Source organism: Homo sapiens, chromosome 2 (genome assembly GCF_000001405.40).
Source record: "Homo sapiens chromosome 2, GRCh38.p14 Primary Assembly".
NCBI lineage: Eukaryota > Metazoa > Chordata > Mammalia > Primates > Hominidae > Homo > Homo sapiens.
Window position 1 is genome coordinate 69,572,917 of NC_000002.12, and position 22,948 is coordinate 69,595,864.

At 42.7% G+C, this 22,948-nt stretch overlaps 1 protein-coding gene and 1 pseudogene across 5 annotated transcripts in view, besides 2 other annotated features; both read right to left on the reverse strand.

Annotated features, from left to right (window-relative positions):
* Positions 1-22,948, reverse strand: part of AAK1 (AP2 associated kinase 1) — a 185,743-nt gene that overhangs the window by 114,920 nt on the left and 47,875 nt on the right. The window lies entirely within an intron of this gene.
* Positions 4,627-5,127: an enhancer, noted in NCBI's record as "H3K4me1 hESC enhancer chr2:69804675-69805175 (GRCh37/hg19 assembly coordinates)". NCBI's record gives its function as "activates a minimal SCP1, AML or CMV promoter by ChIP-STARR-seq in primed H9 embryonic stem cells {active_cell/tissue: H9 hESC(primed)}" and the evidence as "EXISTENCE:reporter gene assay evidence [ECO:0000049][PMID:30033119]".
* Positions 9,901-10,195: a silencer, noted in NCBI's record as "tiled region #3088; HepG2 Repressive DNase matched - State 8:EnhW". NCBI's record gives its function as "represses a minimal TATA promoter and a strong SV40 promoter by Sharpr-MPRA in HepG2 cells {active_cell/tissue: HepG2}" and the evidence as "EXISTENCE:reporter gene assay evidence [ECO:0000049][PMID:27701403]".
* RPL36AP16 (ribosomal protein L36a pseudogene 16) lies at positions 21,768-22,170 on the reverse strand (annotated as a pseudogene).

A 22,948-nucleotide genomic window follows, 5' to 3' on the forward strand; every position in this document is an offset into this window, starting at 1 on the left:
CTGGCTCTCAGTGGAAGCTCCAGCGATGCAGTAAGCTCCAGGGATGGCCGACTCAGCCCTCTTGGACAAAGCTGAGATCAGACTTGACTCAGGCTCCAAATAAAACATAAAGAAACCCAGCTTCCCTGAAGCAGAGACCTAGCATTAACAACCTAAAAACCAAATGAGTATAAACTCATCAACTAGATTGATAATAAATGGGTACCAGGCAAAACAGAACAGAGACAGAATGTGGGCTGGGGAGGAAGGTGGGTCTTCCATAACCAGAGTCTTGGGGGCCTCAACAAAGGGTTGAAGAGAGAGGCCACGAGGTCAGTGCAGAGCAGTCAGAAGCCTAAGGAAAAAATATCTGAAGCTTAATTAGGAAAGTGCTCATTCATTCAGAAGCCAGGACAGGGCACCAGGACAAACCAAGGTGTCACACGGTTTAGACAAGATATATGCTAAAACAAGGAGGAAAAGTAGCTCTGAAGAAGAACAGGGAATCCCACCTGACCTGGAAGGAAGACGAGAAGCATTCCACCCAAGTATCTAATGCTAGTGGTAAGGCTACATGTCAAAAAATATTGAGAAGAGGGAAAGGAATGGGAGCTGAGTAATCCATAAGCTGCATCGGCAAGTAGTCTCAGTGAGGCAGAAAGACCTCTGGTAGAATGTTGGCTGGCGTGTGCCTGGAAAGCAATGTGGCAATATGCATAAAAACCCAAGAGATCTTTCAACTCCTAAATTCCACTTCTAGGAATCCATCTTAAGGAAATAACCTGAAATATCCACAAAGTATGTACAAAAATAGTTAAGACAGGCCAGGTTTGGTGGCTCACACCTGTAATCCCAGCACTTTGGGAGGCCGAGGCAGGCAGATCACTTGAGGTCAGGAGTTCGAGACCAGCCTGGCCAACATAGTGAAACCCGTCTCTACTAAAAATACAAAAATTAGCTGGGCGTGGTTGCGGGTGCTTGTAATCTCAGCTGCTTGGGAGGCTGAGGCAGGAGAATCGCCTGAACTTGGAGGGTAGAGCAGTGAGCTGAGATCATGCCACTGCACTCCAGCCTGGGTGACAGAGCAAGACTCCATCTCAAAATAAAAATAAAAATAAAAATAAAGTCAAGACAAAAAAACTATAAACATAAAAAATAGAAGTCACTTAAATGCCCAATGAAAAGAGATTAGAGCCAGGCATGGTAGCTCAAGCCTGTAATCCCAAGCACTTTGGGAGGCTGAGGTGGATCACTTGAGGTCAGGAGTAGGAGTTGGAGACAAGCCTGGCCAACAGTGAAACCCCATCTCTACTAAAAATACAAAAATTAGCTGGGTATAGTGGTGCACACCTGTAATCCCAGCTACTCGGGAGGCTGGGGCAGGAGAATTGCTTGAATCTTGAATCCGGGAGGCGGAAGCTGCAGTGAGCAGAGATCACACCACTGCACTTCAGACTAGGTGACAGAGTAAGACTCCCTCTCAAAAAAAAAAAAAAAAAAAAAAGAGAAGAGAAAGAGAGAGAGATTGGGGCTGGGCATGGTGGTGTATGCCTGTAGTCCCAGCTACTTGGGAGGCTGAGGCAGGAGGATCGCTGGAGCCAGGGAGTTCAAGGCTGCAGTGCACAATGATCCCACCTGTGAATAGCCACTGCACTCCAGCCTGGGCAACATAGCAAGAGCCCATTGCCTTAAAAAAATAAGAGAGAGAGAGAGATATTTGGCTTAAAAAAAAATAGTTTGTTTATACGAAAGAACATTCTATAGCTAGTAAAATATTGAACATTAAATGTACACGACGGGGATGGTGGCTCATGCCCATAATCCCAGTACTTCTGGAGGCTGAGGCGAGAGGATTTCCTGAGGCCAGGAGTTAAAGACCAGCTGGGCAACATAGCAAGACCTCATCTCTACAAAAACAAACAAAATAGCTGGTGGTGCACACTTGTGGTCCTAGCTACTCGGGAGGCTGAAACAGGAGGATCACTTGAGCCCAGTGATCATACATTAAACTATGATACATACATAGTTCATACATTGAACTATCATTGTGCCACTGCACTCCAGCCTGGGTGACAGGGCGAAATTCTGTCTTTACAAATAAAAATACGTATAGCAAAAAGACTACAAAAAAAAAAAAAAAACCACACACACAACAAAATGCTGTGACTAAAACAAAACAAACAACTTCTAAGACTGATTTACTTGTGGATGATGATCTATGTTCTATAATGACCATATATTATCTTTTTTTCTATGAAAATACATTTTTGGTTGTTTGTTTTTAGAAAAACCTGTCCTCCAAACTTGAGGCTTGTTAAGAAGGCGACCCTCCAAGAAGGACCGGGAGCACACTAGCACCAATCAATGAACTGAATTATGTGAGGGGAAAACTTCCTTTGTCTCTGGTATAAAACCAGGGCCAGGACTAGGGTAAGGGGAATGAGGCACTTGCTAGGGGCACAAAATTTAGAAAGGTGCCAAAAAATCTCAGTAGTCCAGATAAATACTATTTTACTGCAATATTTTTTAAAAATTGAAATTAGGGCAAATAAAATCCAAGATAAACAAATTTTTTTTTTTTTTTTTTTTTTGAGACAGAGTTTCACTCTTGTCGCCCAGGCTGGAGTGCAATGGCGCAATCTCGGCTCACTGCAACCTCCGCCCACTGGTTCAGGCGATTCTCCTGCCTCAGCCTCCCAAGTAGCCAGGATTACAGGCACGCGCCAACATGTCGGCTAATTTTTGTAATTTTAGTAGAGACAGGATTTGGCTACACTGGCCAGGCTGGTCTCGAACTCTTAACCTCAGGTGATCCACCCGCCTTGGCCACCCAAAGTGCTAGGATTACAGGCGTGAGACACCGTGCCCGGCCACAAATTTCAAATTTTTAAATAAAGACAGGATCAGTATTTCAGTATTGATTTTTCTTTTTGCCTCAGGCTCCAATATGGCTGGGCTCAGCACAGTTACTGATCCTGTCTTTATTTTAAATTCTGATACTTTGTTCATGGAAGACTTTTTGCATTAATTTGTTTCTTGCTTACTGTAATCCTGATGGGCTAATTTCCTAGAAAATGTTTTCACCCTTCCATCATGGTCAGGGCAGTGGGGCACACCAATGCCTGTCTGCTCTAATGCCAGCCCTAAACAGGAACAAAAGAAGAATGAAAGTACCCTGGAGCGGGGAATAGCCTGGTCTAAAGAAACCCATGCACTCTCTCAGGCCCTGCCAGACCACAACTCCTACAAAACCCTCCTCACTCTCCACTAGCCCAAGCTCTCTCCCCAATGACTTTCTGGGATTAAAACAGAAAAATCCATTAAGAAAATATACAATATACAATGATTGACAACCCCTCCCTAACCACAAGGGGAGTGTTAGTCTTTAACAGAATACTATTTTAAGATACATATATGTTAACAATTATGCTTGAGGTTTTTTTTTTCTAACTTTTATTTTAGGTTTGGGGGTACATGTGAAGGTTTATTAATTATGTAGGTAAACTCGTGTCACGGGGGTTTGTTGTACAGATCATTTCATCACCCAGGTATTAAGCCCAGTACCCAATAGTTATCTTTTCTGCTCCTCTCCCTCCTCCCACCCTCCACCCTCAAGTATACCCCAGTGTCTGCTGTTTCCTTCTTTGTGTTCCTAAGTCCTCATCATTTAGCTCCCACTTACAAGTGAGAACATGCAGTATTTGATTTTCTGTTCCTGCATTAGTTTTATGCTTGAGTTTCAATGGAGGTATAAACACATAAGCATTCCAAAAACAAGTGAATCAGAGTGAATGAAAATGATTAGCTCAATTAACCATGCTTATGAGAAGTTTATCAAAGCCTAGGTCCACCTGGTGGCATTTCCGTATATGCCTAGAAAAAAATGGCCTCTAGAGCCTCGCTTCTACAAGATCAAATAAATGACCATGGAAGTGTCTCCACCTTAGATAGCGGTCTGAAAAACTGCTCTGGTAACAACACAAATATAATCCAAATATAAAGGGGAAGAAACATACATGCAATATCATTCTCCACGGCATTAAGACCACATGGCCTAGTCCCTACCAGACCTTCACATCTTCCAGCTACTTAACAGCACATCTGTTTAGGACACATCCAAAAACAGCACTATTGAGATTCAGCTCTGCGCCAAGCACTTTCACATGCATTACCTAATTGCATCCTCATGACAAGCCTGTGAGGCGAGTACTATTACACCAGTCTTGCCGACGGGGAACCAACTGCAGGTTCACTCTGAGCAGCAGAACCCCTGTCTTCTGCCCAAAATCTGGTTGTTTGCCCAGTGCTCTTGGCCTGTGCCTAGCAGGCTCATTTCTTAAAGCCCACCTACAAGAGGATCCTCCAGCATGTTCTACTGTGCTTTTCTCACCAAGTTACCCATCACTCATCAGAGACTCAAGGCCCAGTTTACCAATAAGTAAAATGAGACACCGCAAGGTAAGAAATTCACCTGACTTTCCACTGTCTGATCTCTGACCCCACGTACTTAAGAGGGGGCAGGGTGCCATCCTGAGGAACTAGACTACTCTGTAGAATTTACTCCCCTGCTGTGAAGAAGAAATGGTGCCCTAACACTCATTCCAGGTGAAACATCCCCTCTACCCTCCATGACAGGCAGAGCTGAGTGGCAATATGGGAGAGCGCCAAGAACTACTGGTACACAGTGGAGATCATTTCCCAGACCAGGCTGTGGTAGGGATTTCAGCTTCAAAGATTGAGTTACATTCTTTCCTTCCTGGCCCTAACCCCTACTCTTGTCCTTTGTACTTGCCTCAACAGCTGGAAGCAGGGTGCAATCTACACTGTGCCAAAACAGGAGGCCAGGGCAAGACTTCTCTTAATCCCCACTCACCACAACTGTCTCCACAGGAGGCAGGAGGGACTCAGACCAAGAGCCAGCACATTCCCATGGGGGCTAGCGCTGTAGGTTGGGGAGGGGGCAGGGATGGTGGAGATGGTGGACTTATTCTTAAATTCTATTTATTTTCACCATTCCTGGGTATTCCTTTCACCTTCATCTTCACTAAGGCACCCTAAGAAATTCAGTCTCCCAAGACAACATGATCTGAGGTGGAAGGAAGGGCCAGAGTTGGAGAAGAGGAAGAATTCATTGCATTCTCCACCCCCTTCCCTCCCTCGGGCTGTTAAAGGGAACAGGGCCACCTCACCTCTCAGCTTTCAAGCAGTAATTAATTACTACGAGTCCAGGGCTTTAGATGAAGTGAAAAATGGTTAGCATTAGACAAAATCAGATCTTGCACACATCCCGATAGGGTTACATTAGTAAGAAGACGTGATGGGAGTGCGGAAAATGTTTTCAGTGAAATATAGAATAGAAAGATGCCTTTAGGCTTTTCTCTGAATGCTGAATAGTAAGAGATGCTGACTGTGGTCAGAGCCTGCTTCATGGCAATTAGTGATTCAATCCTAAGGAAACCTGAGAGTCCAATGCTGAGCACATCAACAACCTGGCTCAGACTAGAGTTCAAATGCAATGAGATCCTGCTTGCAGGTGCACCACCTCCTCCCCAACTCCCACTGATCTATACAGCACAGCTACCTACTTTTTTATCTGAAGCTATTTCCAGGGTCAAAAATGCCATTTAAAAATCTCTGAACACTGAGAGGAGCCACCATTCCTCCCTTTCCACCACCCCAATCTACCAACACTCTGAAGTCCTAAAACGTCCCAATCCCTCAACGTTTACATTCCCTGCTCTCCTCTATCTGAAGCCCAGCCTGGCTTCCCCTCCTGTCTCTAGAGCCCATCGTTTAGGGACTTCACTCCCTGAAGAAATTGTTCCCTCTCTACTGCCTTTCTCCCACCAGTGTTTAAACAAGCTCCAAGTCTCTCTGATCATAAAAAGAAACAAAAATCTCTTCACCTCTTTTTTTTTTTTTTTTTCAGACGGAGTCTCGCTCTGTCGCCCAGGCTGGAGTGCAGTGGCGCGGTCTCGGCTCACTGCAAGCTCCACCTCCCGGGTTCACGCAGTTCTCCTGCCTCAGCCTCCCAAGTAGCTGGGACTACAGGTGCGTGCCACCATGCCCGGCTAATTTTTTTGTGTTTTTATTAGAGACGGGGCTTCACTGTGTTAGCCAGGATGGTCTCGATCTCCTGACCTCGTCTTTACCTCTTTCTTGATCCAACTAGCTACCACCCCTTTCCTCTCTTTTACAACTAGACATTTCAACCTGTCTATTCTCTCACTCTCTCCACATTCTACCTCCCAGTCATTCAGAAACCTCTTATGAAGTAGATTCTGCCCTCTCCAAGGCCCAGGACCTCTCTGTGGCTCAATCAAGCGGATGGTTTTCAGATGGCACCTTGTGTGACAGCTACTGAGCACTTTTCACTGGTGACATTCTTGAATCACTCTTTCCAGCCAGGCCTGGTGGCTCATGCCTGTAATCCCAGTACTTTGGGAGGCCGAGGTGGGAGAACTGCTTGAGCCGAGGGGTTGAGACTAGACTGGGCAACATGGAGAGACCCCATCTCTACAAAAAATACAAAAATTAACTGGGTGTGGTGGTGCATGCCTAGAGACCCAACTACTCAGGAGACTGAGGTGGGAGGATTGCTTGGGCCCGGGAGGTGGAGGTTGAAGTGAGCTGAGAAGCTGAGACTGTGCCACTGCACTCCAGCCTCAATGACAGAGCCAGACCATGTCTAAAATAAAGAATTTTAAAAACTACTCTTTCCTTTGGGCTTCCAAAGAAAAGGACATGACATGCTCAGTATTTCCCCTACATCTCTGTCCACTTCTTGATCTCCTTTAGAGTTGTTCGTCTTCCTCCTGTTCCTTAATTGCCAGTGTTTCCTCAGCGTTCAGTCCTGAGTCATCTCTGTTCACCCTATAAATGCGCCCTGGTTGATTTCACCCATTAGGCATTTAAACATCCTTTAATTACATTCATAATATTGACAACTATCTCCAGAGGTCCAGACCCATATATTTGACTTTCTCAATTAAGCTGATAAACATTTCCACTTGTAATTTTCACAGGCACCCCAAACTCAACATGTTTAAAACTGAAATCAAACCCCAGGTGTCCCCTCCACACATACCTCCCAAGCCTCCCTTTCTGTGTTCCCCAATGCTGTGACCACCATCTACCCCATTTCCTGTCTTCAGAAACTCCCTCTCCCCAATATCCAACTAACAACCAAATCTTGATGATTTGTCTCCATCTCTTTCAAGTCTGCTAACTTCTGCCCATACTAACAGCCACTGGCTTATTTCAGATCCTCCTCATTTTTCTCCTAGACTACTAGAATTTCTTAGTGTACTCTCAGAACAGAAACCTTTGGTGGGGGTCTGTGCAACTCAATGATCCACCTTTCTCTGGACATCCCCTCTCCTCCACCCATTATGTTTGTACTAAAGAATACCCTTTCCCCATCCTTGCCAGACTTCATGGGACCATCATGGACATCTGATCCACACCAGGCAACTCAGATTCTTTCCTGGAAAAGTGGAATTTGGTATAAGTATGTGCAGACAACTTAAACTACAGCAAGTGAAAAGTGGGAGCTGCACGGAAACCATATGGTGCCATAGGAATATTAAACAGAGAAAGTCTATCTGCATTAAAAAAGAAGACCAAAGCAGAAGCAGAAAAAAAGCAGAGATGAGAGAGAGAGAAACACTCCTGGTGGCCTTTTTCTTCTAATTTCAGACTCTTGGCGAGGGTCAGTAGCACTTTTGCTCCAGGTTCCGTTAGAAACACCCACCAACTTGTCTTTTTCACATTTCCCTTTTTATTTCAGCTCGTTTAAGTAGATAACTGTTAATGTGCCCACAGAGTGTCTTGGTTAATACATTTGAATCCACTCACTTCTTCTCACTTGATCTCAGCTCTCCTATCTATAAAACCAAAAGACTGAATTACATGAACTCTATGAAGGCTTTAATGCACTACATTCTTTGAGCAGAGTATGTGTGCTTTTTCTATATTCAGTCTAATGCGCAAAATGATGGTCACCACCAGCCCAAGGACAGTCATATGCATATTTAGGGTTGCATTTTGTTACAAGTTTTTAAACTATGCAAGTTTACAAGCAAATTAATAAAAATGATCTTTTTTTTTTTATAGAAGTACATGTAAGTAACACATGCTTTACATATTAGATATTTAATAAGTAGCTTATGAATTTATCTAGAGCCTGCTGAGAGGACAAAAGGTTTTGTTTTTTAATTTTATTTATTTATTTATTGAGACGGAATCTCACTCTGTCTCCCAGGCTGGAGTGCAGTGGCACGATCTCGGCTCACTGCAACCTCCGCCTCCCGGGTTCAAGCAATTCTCCTGCCTCAGCCTCCTGAGTAGCTGGGATTACAGGCACACGCCACCACACCCAGCTAATTTTTGTATTTTCAGTAGAGATGGGGTTTCACCACGTTGGCTCCTGACCTCATGATCCACCCACCTCAGCCTCCCAAAGTGCTGGAATTACAGGAGTGAGCCACTGCGCCCAGCTGGTTTTGTTTTTTTAAAAACAGTGCACTACAATCAGTGTGGCATTGTAGAGTGAATGTATTTTTTTCTGCAATAATATAAGGATGACTAGTGAAAAGTATTCTCTAAATACGTTTGAAAATGGCCCATTTGAAAATGGACTGGCCCACCTGCCGAGTGTCAAATGAGATTGCTAAATTGCAGAGCAACGTTTTAATTCAGGGCTTCAAAAAAGGGAGTAATTTAAAAATGTACATTTATGATAACAGGTTGAAAATTGACGCAAAACACTTTCTTTAGGTTAAAAATAGATCTTTTTTGGGCTGGGCATGGTGGTTCATGCCTATAATCCCAGCACTTTGGGAGGCTGAAGTGGGAAGATCACTTGAGCCCAGGAATTTGAGACCGGCCTGGGCAACACAGCGAGACCCAGTCTCTACAAAATAATTTTTTAAAAACTTAGCCAGGCATGGTGGTGCGCATCTGTGGTCCTAGCTACTCAAGAGGCTGTGGTGGGAGAATTGCTTGAGCCCAGGTGGTTGAAGCTGCAGTGAGCCATGATTGCGTCACTGCATTCCAGCCTGGGTGACAGAGTGCCCTGTCTTTAAAAAAAAAAAAGTGCATTTTTGAAGATAAATCAGTGTCGTGTGAAAAATATTTTTTTAAAGACAAATTTTGGCTTTTGCATTTTGTAAAATTCATAAGCTACTTATTAAGTACCTAATTTACAAAATATGTATTACATCACTGATAAAGTACTTAGTAAATAAATAGCTAAATGCTGATAGAGTCTGATTCAGCAAGCCTGAGTGGGGCCCTGGATCTATTTTTTACAAAAGCCTCACAGACAACACAGATCATCTGCCAGTTTGGGGAACCACTGTCCCAGGATCAGGACATATTTCAGATCTCTTTGAAATAAGAAGTAGAAACTGCAGTATACTGAGAACACTTAGAATAGAATCAGAGTATCTCTATACATGAAAAACCTCCGTGTGTGCGTGTGTGTGCACGTGTGTGTGTGCGTGTGTGTGCGCGTGTGTGTGCGTGCACACATGCACAAGACTAAATTAAATAAACCCTACCAGTGGTTTCGGGGTGGGAGAGGTGGTGAGGAAGTTTGCCCACGCTGGCTCTTTTGGTCTGGGGAAGGAAGCTAATGACTTTGCAAATTCCTGTCCCCTAAAAAGACCTGCTACTGGGGGGTGAGGGCGGAACATCATAACCCACATTCTAAATGGCTATTCAATATTCTACAGAGAAACCTCTTGCCAGCTGTCTGCTCAAGCTAAAAGTTTGAATGTTAAAAAAATCAAGTGAAAGACACAAGGTTAGTCCACACTCCACAAACAGTGTCCAACAAGAAGTGGTGGTCAAAAGGAAGAGAAGAGACAGACTCAGATGTGGAAATAAAATTTTCTGTTCCAAAGTCATTGCAAACTTACAGAAAGAATGCTGATGTCTAGCATCTCAAAACTCTTCCCTGGAGCTCTGAGGACTCTGTTGCTGGAAGTTAAGACACCAGTGAGAGCCCCATATTACCCCTACAGGGTTATATCTGTTGACTGTGCAGTTACACCCACCGTGATCATATGTAACTGCCACAGCCACAGAACTCCTGGCAGCAATTCAAATAAAACTCCACGTGAGAGATACCAAAAGGCAACAGAAAGAACCATCAGGAGTCAGGAGGCCTAGTTGTGGTCCAAGTTCCACAAATAACAAGCTATGACCTTGAGCAAGTCACTATACTTCACTGGCCCTCAGTTTCCTTATTTATAAAGTGAAAGTGAGGGACATAAACATCTCTCACCTTTGGAGCTGGACATTTGCCACATTTTGGTGATTCTTCAGGGATATGAAATACACCAAATAACCTCCGAAATTCTATACAGGGATTTGAATTACTAATTCTTTAAAAGACAACATTGCTTTCACACTGGAGTGTGGTGGTGAGCAGAGGATGGAAGTAAATTAAAAGAAGCTCCCTGACAGGTGGGAAGTAGAGGCAGGAATTAGGGAAGCATTACTTCCTTGGGGATATTCACTCTTTATGCTCCAATCACTCTGATCTCCCTAATATAGGCACATTTTTGAAACCTGAAGGCAAAGAGATTTTCTGTTAAAGATTCTCTGAAAGAGTGTTCAGGAAGTTTAATAATTTCCTTGAAAGTCACTCCTTGTATGTCTACTGTACAAGCAGTACAAGCAGTGTGTCCACATCCTCCTGGGTCTCGGCTTCATGGCTGAAAGTCCAAAGAGCCCGTTCAGCATTAGAGCTATACCCTTAGTGGGTCCAAAGACTCACTCTCTTCACCTGCCACTTTCTTGATATGTGTACAATTTTTTCATCTGATTCTTGGCCCTGAGTCCCTTTAGAGGCAACTCACTAGGTGCCATGAGCATTGTGGTTTGTGTTTCTATTCTAAGTTGACTTCGTTCCACTTTTTCAAGTTTCTGGATATTTTTTCAAGCTACGGATCTTCATCCACAGCACAAAATGTCCACTTAAAAAAATAAAGTGGATTTCTCACTCTTTCCCCTGAATGGAAAAAAAATGTCTTAGTTGTCTCTCCAGGTAAACCTGGGGTATCAGCCATGTTCTGATAGCCAGCTTCACCTGACCACCCTTCCCTAATAAGGAACCTCTTTTACAGAATAATTAACCTTCTACACTGCTCTCCAAGCTAATGGGGAACATCTGCTTAGGAGCCCTCCATGGCTGCTTCATCTCCCTCCCCGCAAAACCCACCCGCCTCCTTCAAGAAAGGCCCTAATGATTCTGGTATAGTTACCTTCTCTCCCTACCCCCTTTAACAATCTAGCATCTTCCTTAAAAAACACAATCAGGGAATCCTAACCAGGCAGGCGTGACTCCTAAGCAGATGGCAGGCCTCATAATTAGGTCATTACATAATACCTCTTCTCTAACTAGCTTCTCTCCACCTCATTCCGAGACTCTGGGTTGATGAGCTTTACACTGTGGTTACTTTAATTATAATTCGCTCTTGGGAACTTGGTAATACCATGTTTTGATAAAAGAAAAGAAATGGGGTAAGAGTATAAGAAAGTCAGAGTCAGAAGGTTGCTTTCAGCTTCAGTTTTGAATAGTCCAGACTTGTAGGGGTAACTTTTTCTCTTGGTGCCTTGGTTTCCCAACTTGTTTCAAGTTGGGAACTTGCCTCAAGCCAATCCCCAGTTGCACTGGTTCTAATACAGGACTCAAGCTAAACGTTACATCACATGACATGATTTCTAAGGGACACTACGTCACATTTAGGTGTCAGGTCAGGCTCTTGGTGACACACCATTGAACTAGATTGCACAAGGTGGTATCCTCACGCACACAGGCAGCGACTGGTCTCAGTAAGATCCCAGGTCAGCATCAAGTCTTTGAACTCCCTCAACCTTCAACCCCAGGCACTCAGAGACCTCGATTACTCACCAGGAAATCTAAAGCCTTCCACCTCACTTCCAGTGCAGCATCCCCACTCTGGTCTCCCTCCTTCTCCTAGAGCTTTCCACACTCTAAAAATCACTGTTCCCTTTGCCCAACAACTACACTGCCTTTCTTACCAATCTGTTTTTAGGGATCCTGGGTCTCATACCCATCTCATATCTGTATGAATAGTCTACAGTGAAGAAAAGTCATCTACATACATGTTCCCATTTCCTCATCACAATAAACCCAAATTATCATTTTGTAGATTCAAAAACTGAGGTCCAGATAAGTGTTATCCAAAAAAACTACATAAAAATTCAAGCTTTAATCGAGGATTATAAGAAGAGACTATTCTATGAAAAGGAGAGATCTATAATCTCCAATTGGCATAACATATAAGAGATATTCTTTTTTAAATTAATTTTTTGTAGAGATGGGGTCTCACTTTGTTGCCCAGGCTGGTTTCAAATCCCTGGCTTCAAGCAATCCTCCTGGCCCGGCCTCCCAAAGTATTGGGACTACAGGTGTGAGCCACTGCGCCCAGCCAGGAGATATTCTTAAGCTAGAGGTCCATGTCCCCACACCACCCCAACTCCCCAAGGACCTCTGGTTAACATTTATGCTTCGGCACTGAGTTTTCCAAGTTCTGACCCTGGACTGGGACAGTAGTTATGTTGGCCCCTGGTTCCAATGGGCTGGCCTAGGAGCTTGGTGCCTGTCATCACTGCAATTCTCAGACTCCAATACCTAACGCTACCCTCCTCTCCAGAGTCCTGTCCAAAGTCCTGTATCTCTCCTGCATCGTTAAAGGCAGCCTTGAGTTCTAAAACCTACTGAAAAATACCAGAAACCAAATTTAAGAATCACTTACCCAAAAAGTATGTTTGGACTAGATCAAAAGTTTTACATATGATGTGGCATATGGTACTAGGAAAAGAGGATGACCTTTCAGTCAGTAGTTTCCAGGGTTTGATTTCTAGCAATGAAACTTGTTTACATAAACTTGAGAAAGTTACTTAACTTCTTTAAGCCTCAGTTATTATCCATATTTTACAGATGTGGAAACTTTCTCCCCCAAAGCTATTGAAAAGCACTAAAGAAAAAAATATACAAAAATTGGCCTAGCACAGTGCTGGGCAAACAACTCTTCCCTCCACCTTCCCTCTGGCACCACCCTCTGCCTGATTGGTGCGGAGTGCTCCCTGCCCTCCGCACGTCACTGCCCCAAGGGGTCTGGGAAAAACTCCGAAAAATATGCAGTCTACAAGAACACTGTGAGATGAACCGGAGGATTATGAACTCATTAAAAAGAATAGCAAAGAGATCAGGGTGACCACCAGTGGGGCAGGTTTTGTCTAAGCACTGCATTTCTAAAATAATCATTATGCAGCTTTTTCAGGCCTTTTCCAGGTGAGATGCTTAAAAATGAACTGAGAACAAAGCAGTCAACTGAAAACCTGTGGGCCTATGAACCTAAGGCAAAGTGGGTGGTTGAATACCAGGCTGGTAATGAGGCAGAAAGGCAGGCAGGGGACTTTTGGCACAAGGTAACCATGGGCTTTGGAGGCAACTTACCACAGTGTTGAGGAACCATTTACAGAGCTTCAGGAGCTCAAAGAGGGCCTGGCAATGACAATATTCAAAAGGCTTAAAAACACAAAAGACGTCAGGAAACCTGGGTTCCAATTGTGGCTCTGCATTAACCAGCTATGTGATCTTAGGCTAAAAACTCTTCAAAGACAAGGAAAGTATTTTTCTTTGCATTGTCTGAATCACCTAGAATAACAAAGTCAATGCTCGGTAACTACTGAATGAAGGAGTGTCTGGCTTCTGAGATCTCTGGGCCTTAGTTTTCTCTCCTATATCACAAAAGAGTTGGAAAGATTATCCCTAGGGCCACTCCCGGGCTCACATTCATTCCATTGTTCTTTAGACACAGAAAAGTTTCTCAATTCTAACAGCACATCAGAATCACCTTGGAAGTTTTTAAAAAGATAATTCTCCAGTTTCCCAGCTGGAACATACTGAGATTCAAAATCCTTAGGGTGGTGGGTTTGGGTCGGGCGGAGGGTAAAATCTGCACAGGTGAGCCTAATAGGCAGTTAGCTGTGAGAACCAATGCACCATGCTTTCAAATGCAGTAATCTTCTAATCTTCAAGGAACAAGGGACTTGAGGCTGGGTCCTTCTTCCATATCTTCTGCCTTTCTGCCCAAATCAGCAGCTTTCATTTTCTAAAGCAAACCTGCCTCATTTCTTTTCTTTAAAAAAAAACTTTTTTTTTTTTAAAGACAGGGTCTTGTTCTGTTGCCCAGGCTGGAGTACGATGGCATGCTGACAGCTCGCTGCAGCCTCGACCTCCTGGGCTCAAGCAATCCTTCCATCTCAGCCTCTCGAATAGCTAGGACTACAGGGGCTTGCCACCATGCTCAGCTTATATATATATACACATGTGTATATATACACACATGTATACACACGTATATACGCATGTATATATACGCACATATATACACATATGCGTGCACACACACATATATACACATATGCGTGTACACACACATATATACACACACGTGTGTACATATATACACATGTGTATATATACACATATATATACATATGTGTATATGTATATATGTGTGTGTATATATATATATATATTTTTTTGATGTCGTTTCGCTCTTGTTGCCCAGGCTGGAGTGCAGTGGCGGGATCTCGGCTCACTGCAACCTCCGCCTCTTGGGTTCAAGTGATTCTCCTGTCTCAGCCTCCCAAGTAGCTGGTATTACAGGGGCATGCCACCATGCCCAGCTAATTTTTGTATTTTTAGTAGAGACTGGGTTTCGCCATGTTAGCCAGACTGGTCTTGAACTCCTGACCTCAGGTGATCCACCTGCCTCAGCCTCCCAAAGTGCTGAGATTACAGGTGTAAGCCACTGCACCCAGTTGCCCAGCTAATATTTTTAAATTTTTTTGTAGAGACAGAGTTTTACTATGTTGCTCAGGCTGGTCTTGAACTCCTGGGCTCAAGTGATCTTCCTACCTTGGCCTCCCAAAATGTTGGGAGTTACAAGCATAAGCCACCATGCCAGGCCTCATTTCTTTTTTCTTTTTTTTAAATTTTTTGTAGAGACAAGGTCTCACTATGTTGTCCAGGCTGGTCTTGAACCCCTGGCCTCAAGCGATCCTCCTACCTCAGCCTCCCTAAAGTGCTGGGATTACAGGCATGAGCTACCATGCCCAGCCAAACCTGCTTCATTTCTAAGGAGCAAGACTTTGGAGTTAGATAAGGGTTCAAATCCCACAGCCAACACTCCATAGTAACGTGACCTGAGTTCACATATAACATGAGCAACCATCCCCTGTTCCACAGAGGTTATTGTGAAGATTATGTGAGACAGCATCATAAAGCACCCGGCACACATCTAAACACAGAAGCTCTTAACAAATGTTCATCCCTGTCTCCTCCACCCCCTTCTTTCCTAAGTAAGGCCCATCAGGTGGGTACCTGACATCACCTGCACCTTCAGAAAAACTCTAGTTATGGGAACTTTTGCTGATATAGGACATGCTCCACTTTCAGTATTTGTCACGGACATCAGTTTCCCCATCCCTTATAGTAAGAAAGAAGAGTAAACCCATTCCCTTAACTAAGAACTCCCTCTCTGTTATAACGGTTTGTTTCAGCAGTAGATGGCTACAGGTGACGCAGGTATCCAGAAATCCTGCCCTCCAAATGATCAAAGCAGGCCTAGTCCTGGATGCCTGTGACATCTGAGTGTATCTGAAACCATCTGTGGGTGCTAAGCTAATTGCATCATTTTGTTACTCCTCAGTTCTTACATTTGTTTTATACTTGCTACCACAGCTACATGATTTTTTTTTTCTTTTTTTAATGGAGGTTTTTATGATGTCTCCTTTAAACAGGCTGGTCTTATTGAGTTCCTCTGCATTATTTATTTTTATCCAATGGCACATGTGATCTGTGGATCAAGGTTTACTATTGTTAGGACTATCCCAGTACATTATGTAGGAGAATATTTTATAAAGAGCTCAATCTGGATCCTCTACAGAATAAATGAAAGAACTGCTACCAAAAAGGCAGCCTCTGATTTTCAAAAGAACTTCCGTTGCTTTTTAGATGCCTTTTAGAAAAGAAGGAATCCACCTTGAGGGATATATGAACAATATGCTCACATGGTTCACATGAAGTCAGTCTTCTTTCAGAGCCTGATCACAAAGGCCATTACTAGTGTCAGCTGGGGTTAAAGATCAAAGTTCAGGTGAGAAACCAGAGTTTTCACTGAATCCCTTGGTCAGAGATGTGGCCGACTGGAGAGGAGTTGCACAGTCCTTAGATCAGGAAACAAGGTGGCACTACGTGGAGATAGTTCAAAGTCAGGAAATAAACTGAACAGAGTTCCAGCCAAGAAGTGGAGCATATACAGGACAAAGTTGAAAATATAATTATTGGACTCTGAAGCCGGGTAGCGGTCAAGCAACGAGGCAGAGAGTCAAGACCTAGAAAGATCAGCAGGAAAAGGAGTCCTAGGGGCTGTGAACAGAATAGATGCAACATTGTAACTCAAAGAAAGTAAAGGAGTATTGGGGCCAGGCACAGTGGCTCATGCCTGTAATCCCAACACTTTGGGAGGCCGAGGCAGGCAGATCACCAGAGGTCAGGAGTTCGAGACCAGCCTGACCAATATGATGAAACCCTGTCTCTATTAAAAATACAAAAATTAGCCGGGCTTGATGGCGCATGCCTGTAATCCCAGCTACTTGGGAGGCTGAGGCAGGAGAATCTCTTGAACCCGGGAGGCGGAGGTTGCAGTGAGCCGAGATCGCGCCATTGTACTCCAGCCTGGGCAACAAAGAGAAACTCTGTCTCAAAAAAAAAAAAAAAAAAAAAGAAAGAAAGAAAGTAAAGGAGTATTGGGTCCGAAAAGCTGATGGAAGTGTCCTGAAAGCAGAGAGCAATCCCTAGGAATGATCTGCCTTGAGCGTTCAGGTACAGATAACAAAGTACCTGGAGTAGAGTCAGGCACAGGGAAGTGAGCAGCTCCTACTTTGTTTTAAGGTAGCTCCATTTTGTCTCCACAGAAGAAAGCCAAGCAAGATAATAAAAAGAGAACATGGTCCAACTGGTTCTGATTAAAAAAAAAATTCATAGAAGCTAGCTCTGCCAGGCCAGGGAATAAGTCAAAAAACCTCTGAATGGCTCTGCTCACTAGGGACGACCAGCAATGGAAGCCAGACAGGAAGATAAGCTGGGAGCTTCACTACCACTGCATGAGCTCAGGTAAAAACAAGACTCCATCATCCTCTTCCTCCAGCAGAACACATCATGTCATTCTCTACAGTCTCCACAAACTAGACAAGGCGCATTAACTTCCTAGTCACTTCAGTACATATCAGAAATGTGAAAAAGAGGCCGACTGGAACCTGCCCCTAAACCACCCACTTTTCGTTGGTATTTTATCACAAAGCCCTTTCCGTAGCAGCAGAAATGCTAAGGATTAAAGCAGAGGACACTGGGGGCTTTGGTTAGCAAAGATGCCTGAGAACAGAGGAGAGCACACATTCCAAGAAAGCTATACAGAGAAACTGTTTTGATCAGTCGGTACACCCACCCCCAGACTGCCATTCCGCAGTGCCTGTCCTTCCTGGAGGACAGAGCCAGGGCAGGAGTGATTCAGCATAAGCCATCCCCACTAACCTTGTACACAGCCTACTTAATATAGCAGGCTTAGATGTCTCAATTTTTAACTGGCAACGCTAAGATTCTGCATATTGCAGATACAGGAGCAAATCAAAAACCATTTTTAGATTTGCACAATTTCTCTAGTTAGGAATCCCAATATCAATACATACTATCTTTGGCTTAACCATCTACTAACTGGAAAAGCCTCAACTTCTCTAAAGCTCCATTTTCACAGTTGTAAAATGGGAATAAGTATATCCTATCAATCTTAAAATTAGTAGAAAAGTCAAATGAAATAAATCACGAGAGATTTAATATGGCAACAAAATGTACTGTCTCTTCCAATCTCCATTCCCACCTCCCCAAAACACAAACTTTATTGGAGCGATAAGGCATGAGACATTGAGAAAAAATATAAGCCTACATCGAGCACCTACTATGGAAAGATGAATGTCAGCTCGATTGCTAGGGAAAGTTTTTTGCGAACAGATTTCAGATGAATTCTGAAAGACTGGTAAGATTGGAAAAGGCAAATCCATTTTCTATGTCCATATTGTATGGAGCATTTATTTAAACTGTAGTTAGAATATCTACAGTTAAGGAGTTAACATTATAAATATCATCAGTCACTCTCTATGACTTTTAGAAATATGGAGATTTAGGCACAAAGTGGAGAAAGAACTCAACTCAAAAGGTCACAACAGCAAAGAAGAAAATGAAGCCCAGTTCAGCACCCAGGCTCTACAGGAGCATGAAATAACTGGTGATCAATCAAAACCAGTAAGGTCTACTGACCAACACCACTGTGACCGTACCCAAGAGATTTACCATATGCCACCAAGGTATGGAAGTATCATTCCTACAAGCCATGGTAAACCAGGGAAAGAGAAATAAGACTATGTTGCAGGATGATGTCTTCATAAAAGACTCATAAATCACTTTATTCTAGAGCCAACGGGGTTAAAGTTGGTTCTATAATTTTTTTTTCTTTTTTTCTTTTTCTTTTTTTTTTTTTTTGAGAGGGAGTCTCGCTCTGTCTCCCAGGCTGGAGTGCAGTGGCGTGATCTCGGCTCACTGCAACCTCTGCCTCCCAGGCTGGAGTGCAGTGGCGCAATCTCGGCTCACTACAACCTCTGCCTCCCAGGTTCAGGCGATTCTCCTGCCTCAGCCTCCTGAGTAGCTGGGATTACAGGTGCCCACCGCCACGCCTGGCTAATTTTTGTATTTTTAGCAGAGACGGGGTTTCATCATTTTGGTCAGGCTGGTCTCAAACTCCTGACCTCGTGATCCGCCCGCCTCAGCCTCCCAAAGTGCTGGGATTACAGGCGTGAGCCACTGCGCCTGGCCTGTTCTATATTTCAAACCACAAAGACCACAGCCAGTTTAATGGAGCTTAAATTGGAAAGTTGGAACAAGATGTCACCAAGGCATCTGCTGACAATTTTCCTAACACTTTTATTAATAACTCCCAGTTACCCTCTCCTGGTTCTCCTAGTCCACAGAGAGGTCAATAAGAGCAAATGAGGAAGTGAAGCAGAAGAACCAAGATCTTTCATTGCAGTTTGGAATCCAAAACTGCAACAAAAGGAAGACCGCTCCAAATTCCCAGTATCTCCAATCTCTAGACTAGAATACAATTTTCAAGAAATAGTCGACCTGAGTATTCCACTCAGCCAATGACTGGTCTCTTGTCCTGCCAGTGTTTCTTATTGGGTACTGCCTCAACTCACTTTAAGGTTTATCATACCACTGCTTCTCAAGAGAGGGTAGTTTTGGCCCAAAGAGGGCAACTGGCAATATCTGGAGACATTTCCAGTTGTCACAACTGGGGAGACAAGGGGTGCTGCTGGCATCAAGTGGGCAGAGGTCAAGGGATGCCAACATCCTAATAATGCACAGGACAGCCCCCCACAACAGCGGTCTATTCAATAAAAATGTTTGCAACTTCTGACTTAAGTGTCAAAAATAAAACTGTAAAACTGCTAAAAGAAAATTACAACTGTACTATAACTTTGGAGGTAGAGATGGTTTTCTATAAACATAACATGAAAAGAGTAACCAAAAATTTGATTCATTTCTTCCTCATTAAAATGTGAAACTTCTCTGTGGCAAATAAAACAAAACCCACAAAGTTAGTGGCAAGTGAAAAAAAGTTTCAACATCAAAAATGTTACACAAAATTCAATAAAGTTCTACCCTGAGATTCACAGTTCTACCCTGAGATTCACAGATTTGGCTTATGATAATTGGACTCATTTAACATCTCTTCTTCAAATTATGAGGCATTTCTTCACATTCATGAAGACTTACATGAATTTTGTACACTCCATGAACAAGTGAGTGTCTTAAGGCTCATCATGCCTGTGTTCTAAATAGTTGCTGTGTTAAGTTCTTCTCTTACAGAACCAGTGGTTTGCTAGTTTATAAGCCTGAATAACTTCATGCGTCACATTCCCTAAAATGCATTTTCTCATTGACTTTAGTTTCCACTGCTGCTTGCATTTTTAGTATTAAAGACTAAATTACATAAACATTAATTTAAAAGAATTATAACATCAAATATTGGCAAGAATATAGTGAAACAGAAGTGTGCTTTGATAAGATACATTGGAAGCATTCAGAAAGTAGACATCCATTGATCCAACAATTATTTTGGGACTCTGATGAAATGTAGAAGTATATATATTTAAAGATGCTTTATGCAGTGTTAATAACCAAAGTTGGAAACCTAAATATTTAGCACTAGGAAATTGACTAACTAGATTATGGTATATCCATGCAGCCTTAAAATAAACATCTATACTCAGTGATATGGAAAAATGTTCACAACATATTATTGAGTTTAAAAAAACAGGCTTTACAAAATGGTTAAGAGGGTATACTTTTTATTGTGTATTTTTACCACAAGTAAATTTTTTTTAAATAAAAAAGCAGGCTTCATGTTCTCACACATAAATTTGGTATATATATTATATAACATGTATTTTATATAATATGCAAATATATCTTATTATATACTATCTTTATACATAGAAAAGGGCTGAAGAGCTAAATACCATACTAATGTGCTAAAAGTAATTAAATCTATGGGTGATATGAGTTGTTTTATATATCTTTTCTTTCATGTTTCTAAATATTTATAATTAATGTGAATTAGTTGCAGTAAAATTTGTCAAGATAAGCTACTATTTACATCTCAGTGCTCCAAACTGTATACTGGATAAAATTCCACCTTTTCTAGTTAACTGGAGAAATCATCACAAACATTTATTACCTGTTTCTCACTCAATGCTGGGATGCCTCAGAGGCTACTAGAGTGTACAATGCTACTTCCCTCACTCATTAGGTAGCTCCAGACTGTAATCCTTTTAACTCCTCTGCCAGCTTTAACATTTCTGTCTTTGACCTTAGCGGCTCTTGCCATTGTTCTCTACTGTCAGGTTGGCGTCCTTCTCCATTTTAATGTATTGCTTTTAATTCAACAGTAAATCAAAAGTATAAGAACTCATTAATAAAAACAAGAAAGAATAAAAAGACTGAGGGAGGGGACAGGGTCTCTCCTAAGGTACAAGTTGGAATCCGCTTTTGTGAGCAATTTCTACTGCCCCCAGATTTTTCTTTGGGAAGGGGAGGGGAGGTAGTGGTATATCTCTAAATTCAAAGCTAGGTTTTAGCACAATTGTTCAACTCTCTCCACCATAACACATATATCCAAAGACATTCAAAAATAAGACATATGCCCATGGACATCTGGCACCCACATAAGGGCTCTAGTTCAAGTAGGAGGATCCTGTGGATCGTGTGTAGCCCCTTAGGGTAAGAGCTGTACCTCCACATCATTCTTTGCACTCAAGAAAACGTATCAAAATTTGAAGGACAGTCATGTTATCGTGAGGATAACTTTGAACTTATTTGTTTATATGAATGAATTTCAAAATAAATGATTTACAATTCAGTGCTTTATACTTAACCACATGACAGAGGTGTGTGGTAATACCATAGCAGAGAGCCATGTTTTCATGGTTACTACTGCCAGGAATGTGGCTACTGAAGAAATAGAACACTACTATGTCTAATTACCACAGGCCGAAAGTGAGGCCTCTTGTACCAAACAGTTAGCCAGGTTGTGAATGCAAAGAAAATGTTCTTGAAGGAATTTTTTTTAAGTGAATATAAACTCAAGGTTTTATTGTCTTCATAATAAAAGAAAAGGTAACACTTAGAACTGGATCACTTAGCCCTTTCTCTTCTTACCTCCTCCCAGTTCAGAATGCTTGCCTCTTTTAATAGCCAGCATTCTCTTAGACCTGCAGTTGGGCTCAACGCACTCAAGCCTTAGCACAATCTTCTTTGTAGTTTTAGCCTTTTTCCAGAAAATCGGCTTAGTTTGCCCACTACAGCCACTCTGCTTCCTGTCATAACGCCACTTTCCCTGGGCATACAGAGAATCCTTGCCCTTTTTACTGTGTCACTTTGTGGGGTTGGTGCTTGCCACACTTCTGACACAAGTCCAGCGGGTTTTAGGAACGTTCACCATGTTTGCGTGAGCACTATCAGCATGGAAAAAGCTAGGATTTTGTTTCTTTTTTGTTTTGTTTTGTTTGTTTTTGAGATGGAGTTTCACTCTGTTGCCCAGGCTGGAGTGCAGTGGTGTGATCTTGGCTCACTGCAACCTCTGCTTCCCAGGTTCAAGCGATTCTCCTGCCTCAGCCTCCTGAGTAGCTGGGATTACAGGCACGCACCACCACACCTGGCTAGTTGTTTTTGTATTTTTAGTAGAGACGGGGTTTCACCAAGTTGGCTAGGCTGGTCTCGAACTCATGACCTCAAGTGATCCGTCCACCTCGGCCTCCCAAAGTGTTGGGATTACAGGCGTGAGCCACTGCACCCAACCTCTTGAAGGAAATTTGAAGTGCTACATGAATGATATGGATAAAGTTTTAGTGTGCTGGATATAAGAACAAACCTGCCAAAACATTCCCTTACGCCAAAGTCTAATCTAGAGCTAGGCACCACTAACTCTCCTCAATTCTATGAAGGCTGGGGAGGTAAGAAAGCTCCAGAAGAAGTTTGAAGCCAGCAGAGGTTGGTTCATGAGGTTTAAGACAAGAAGTCATCTCTATTACATAAAAGTGCAAGGTGAGGCAGCAAGTGCTGATGTAGTTGTAGCAAGTTATCCATAAGATCTAGATAAGACCATTGATGAAGGTGGCTTCACTAAACAACAGATTCTCAATGGAGATGAAAAGCCTTATATTGGAAGAAGATGCCATCTAAGACTTTCATAGCTAGAGAGGAGAAGTCAGTGCCTGGCTTCAAACCTGTGAAGGTCAGGCTGATGCT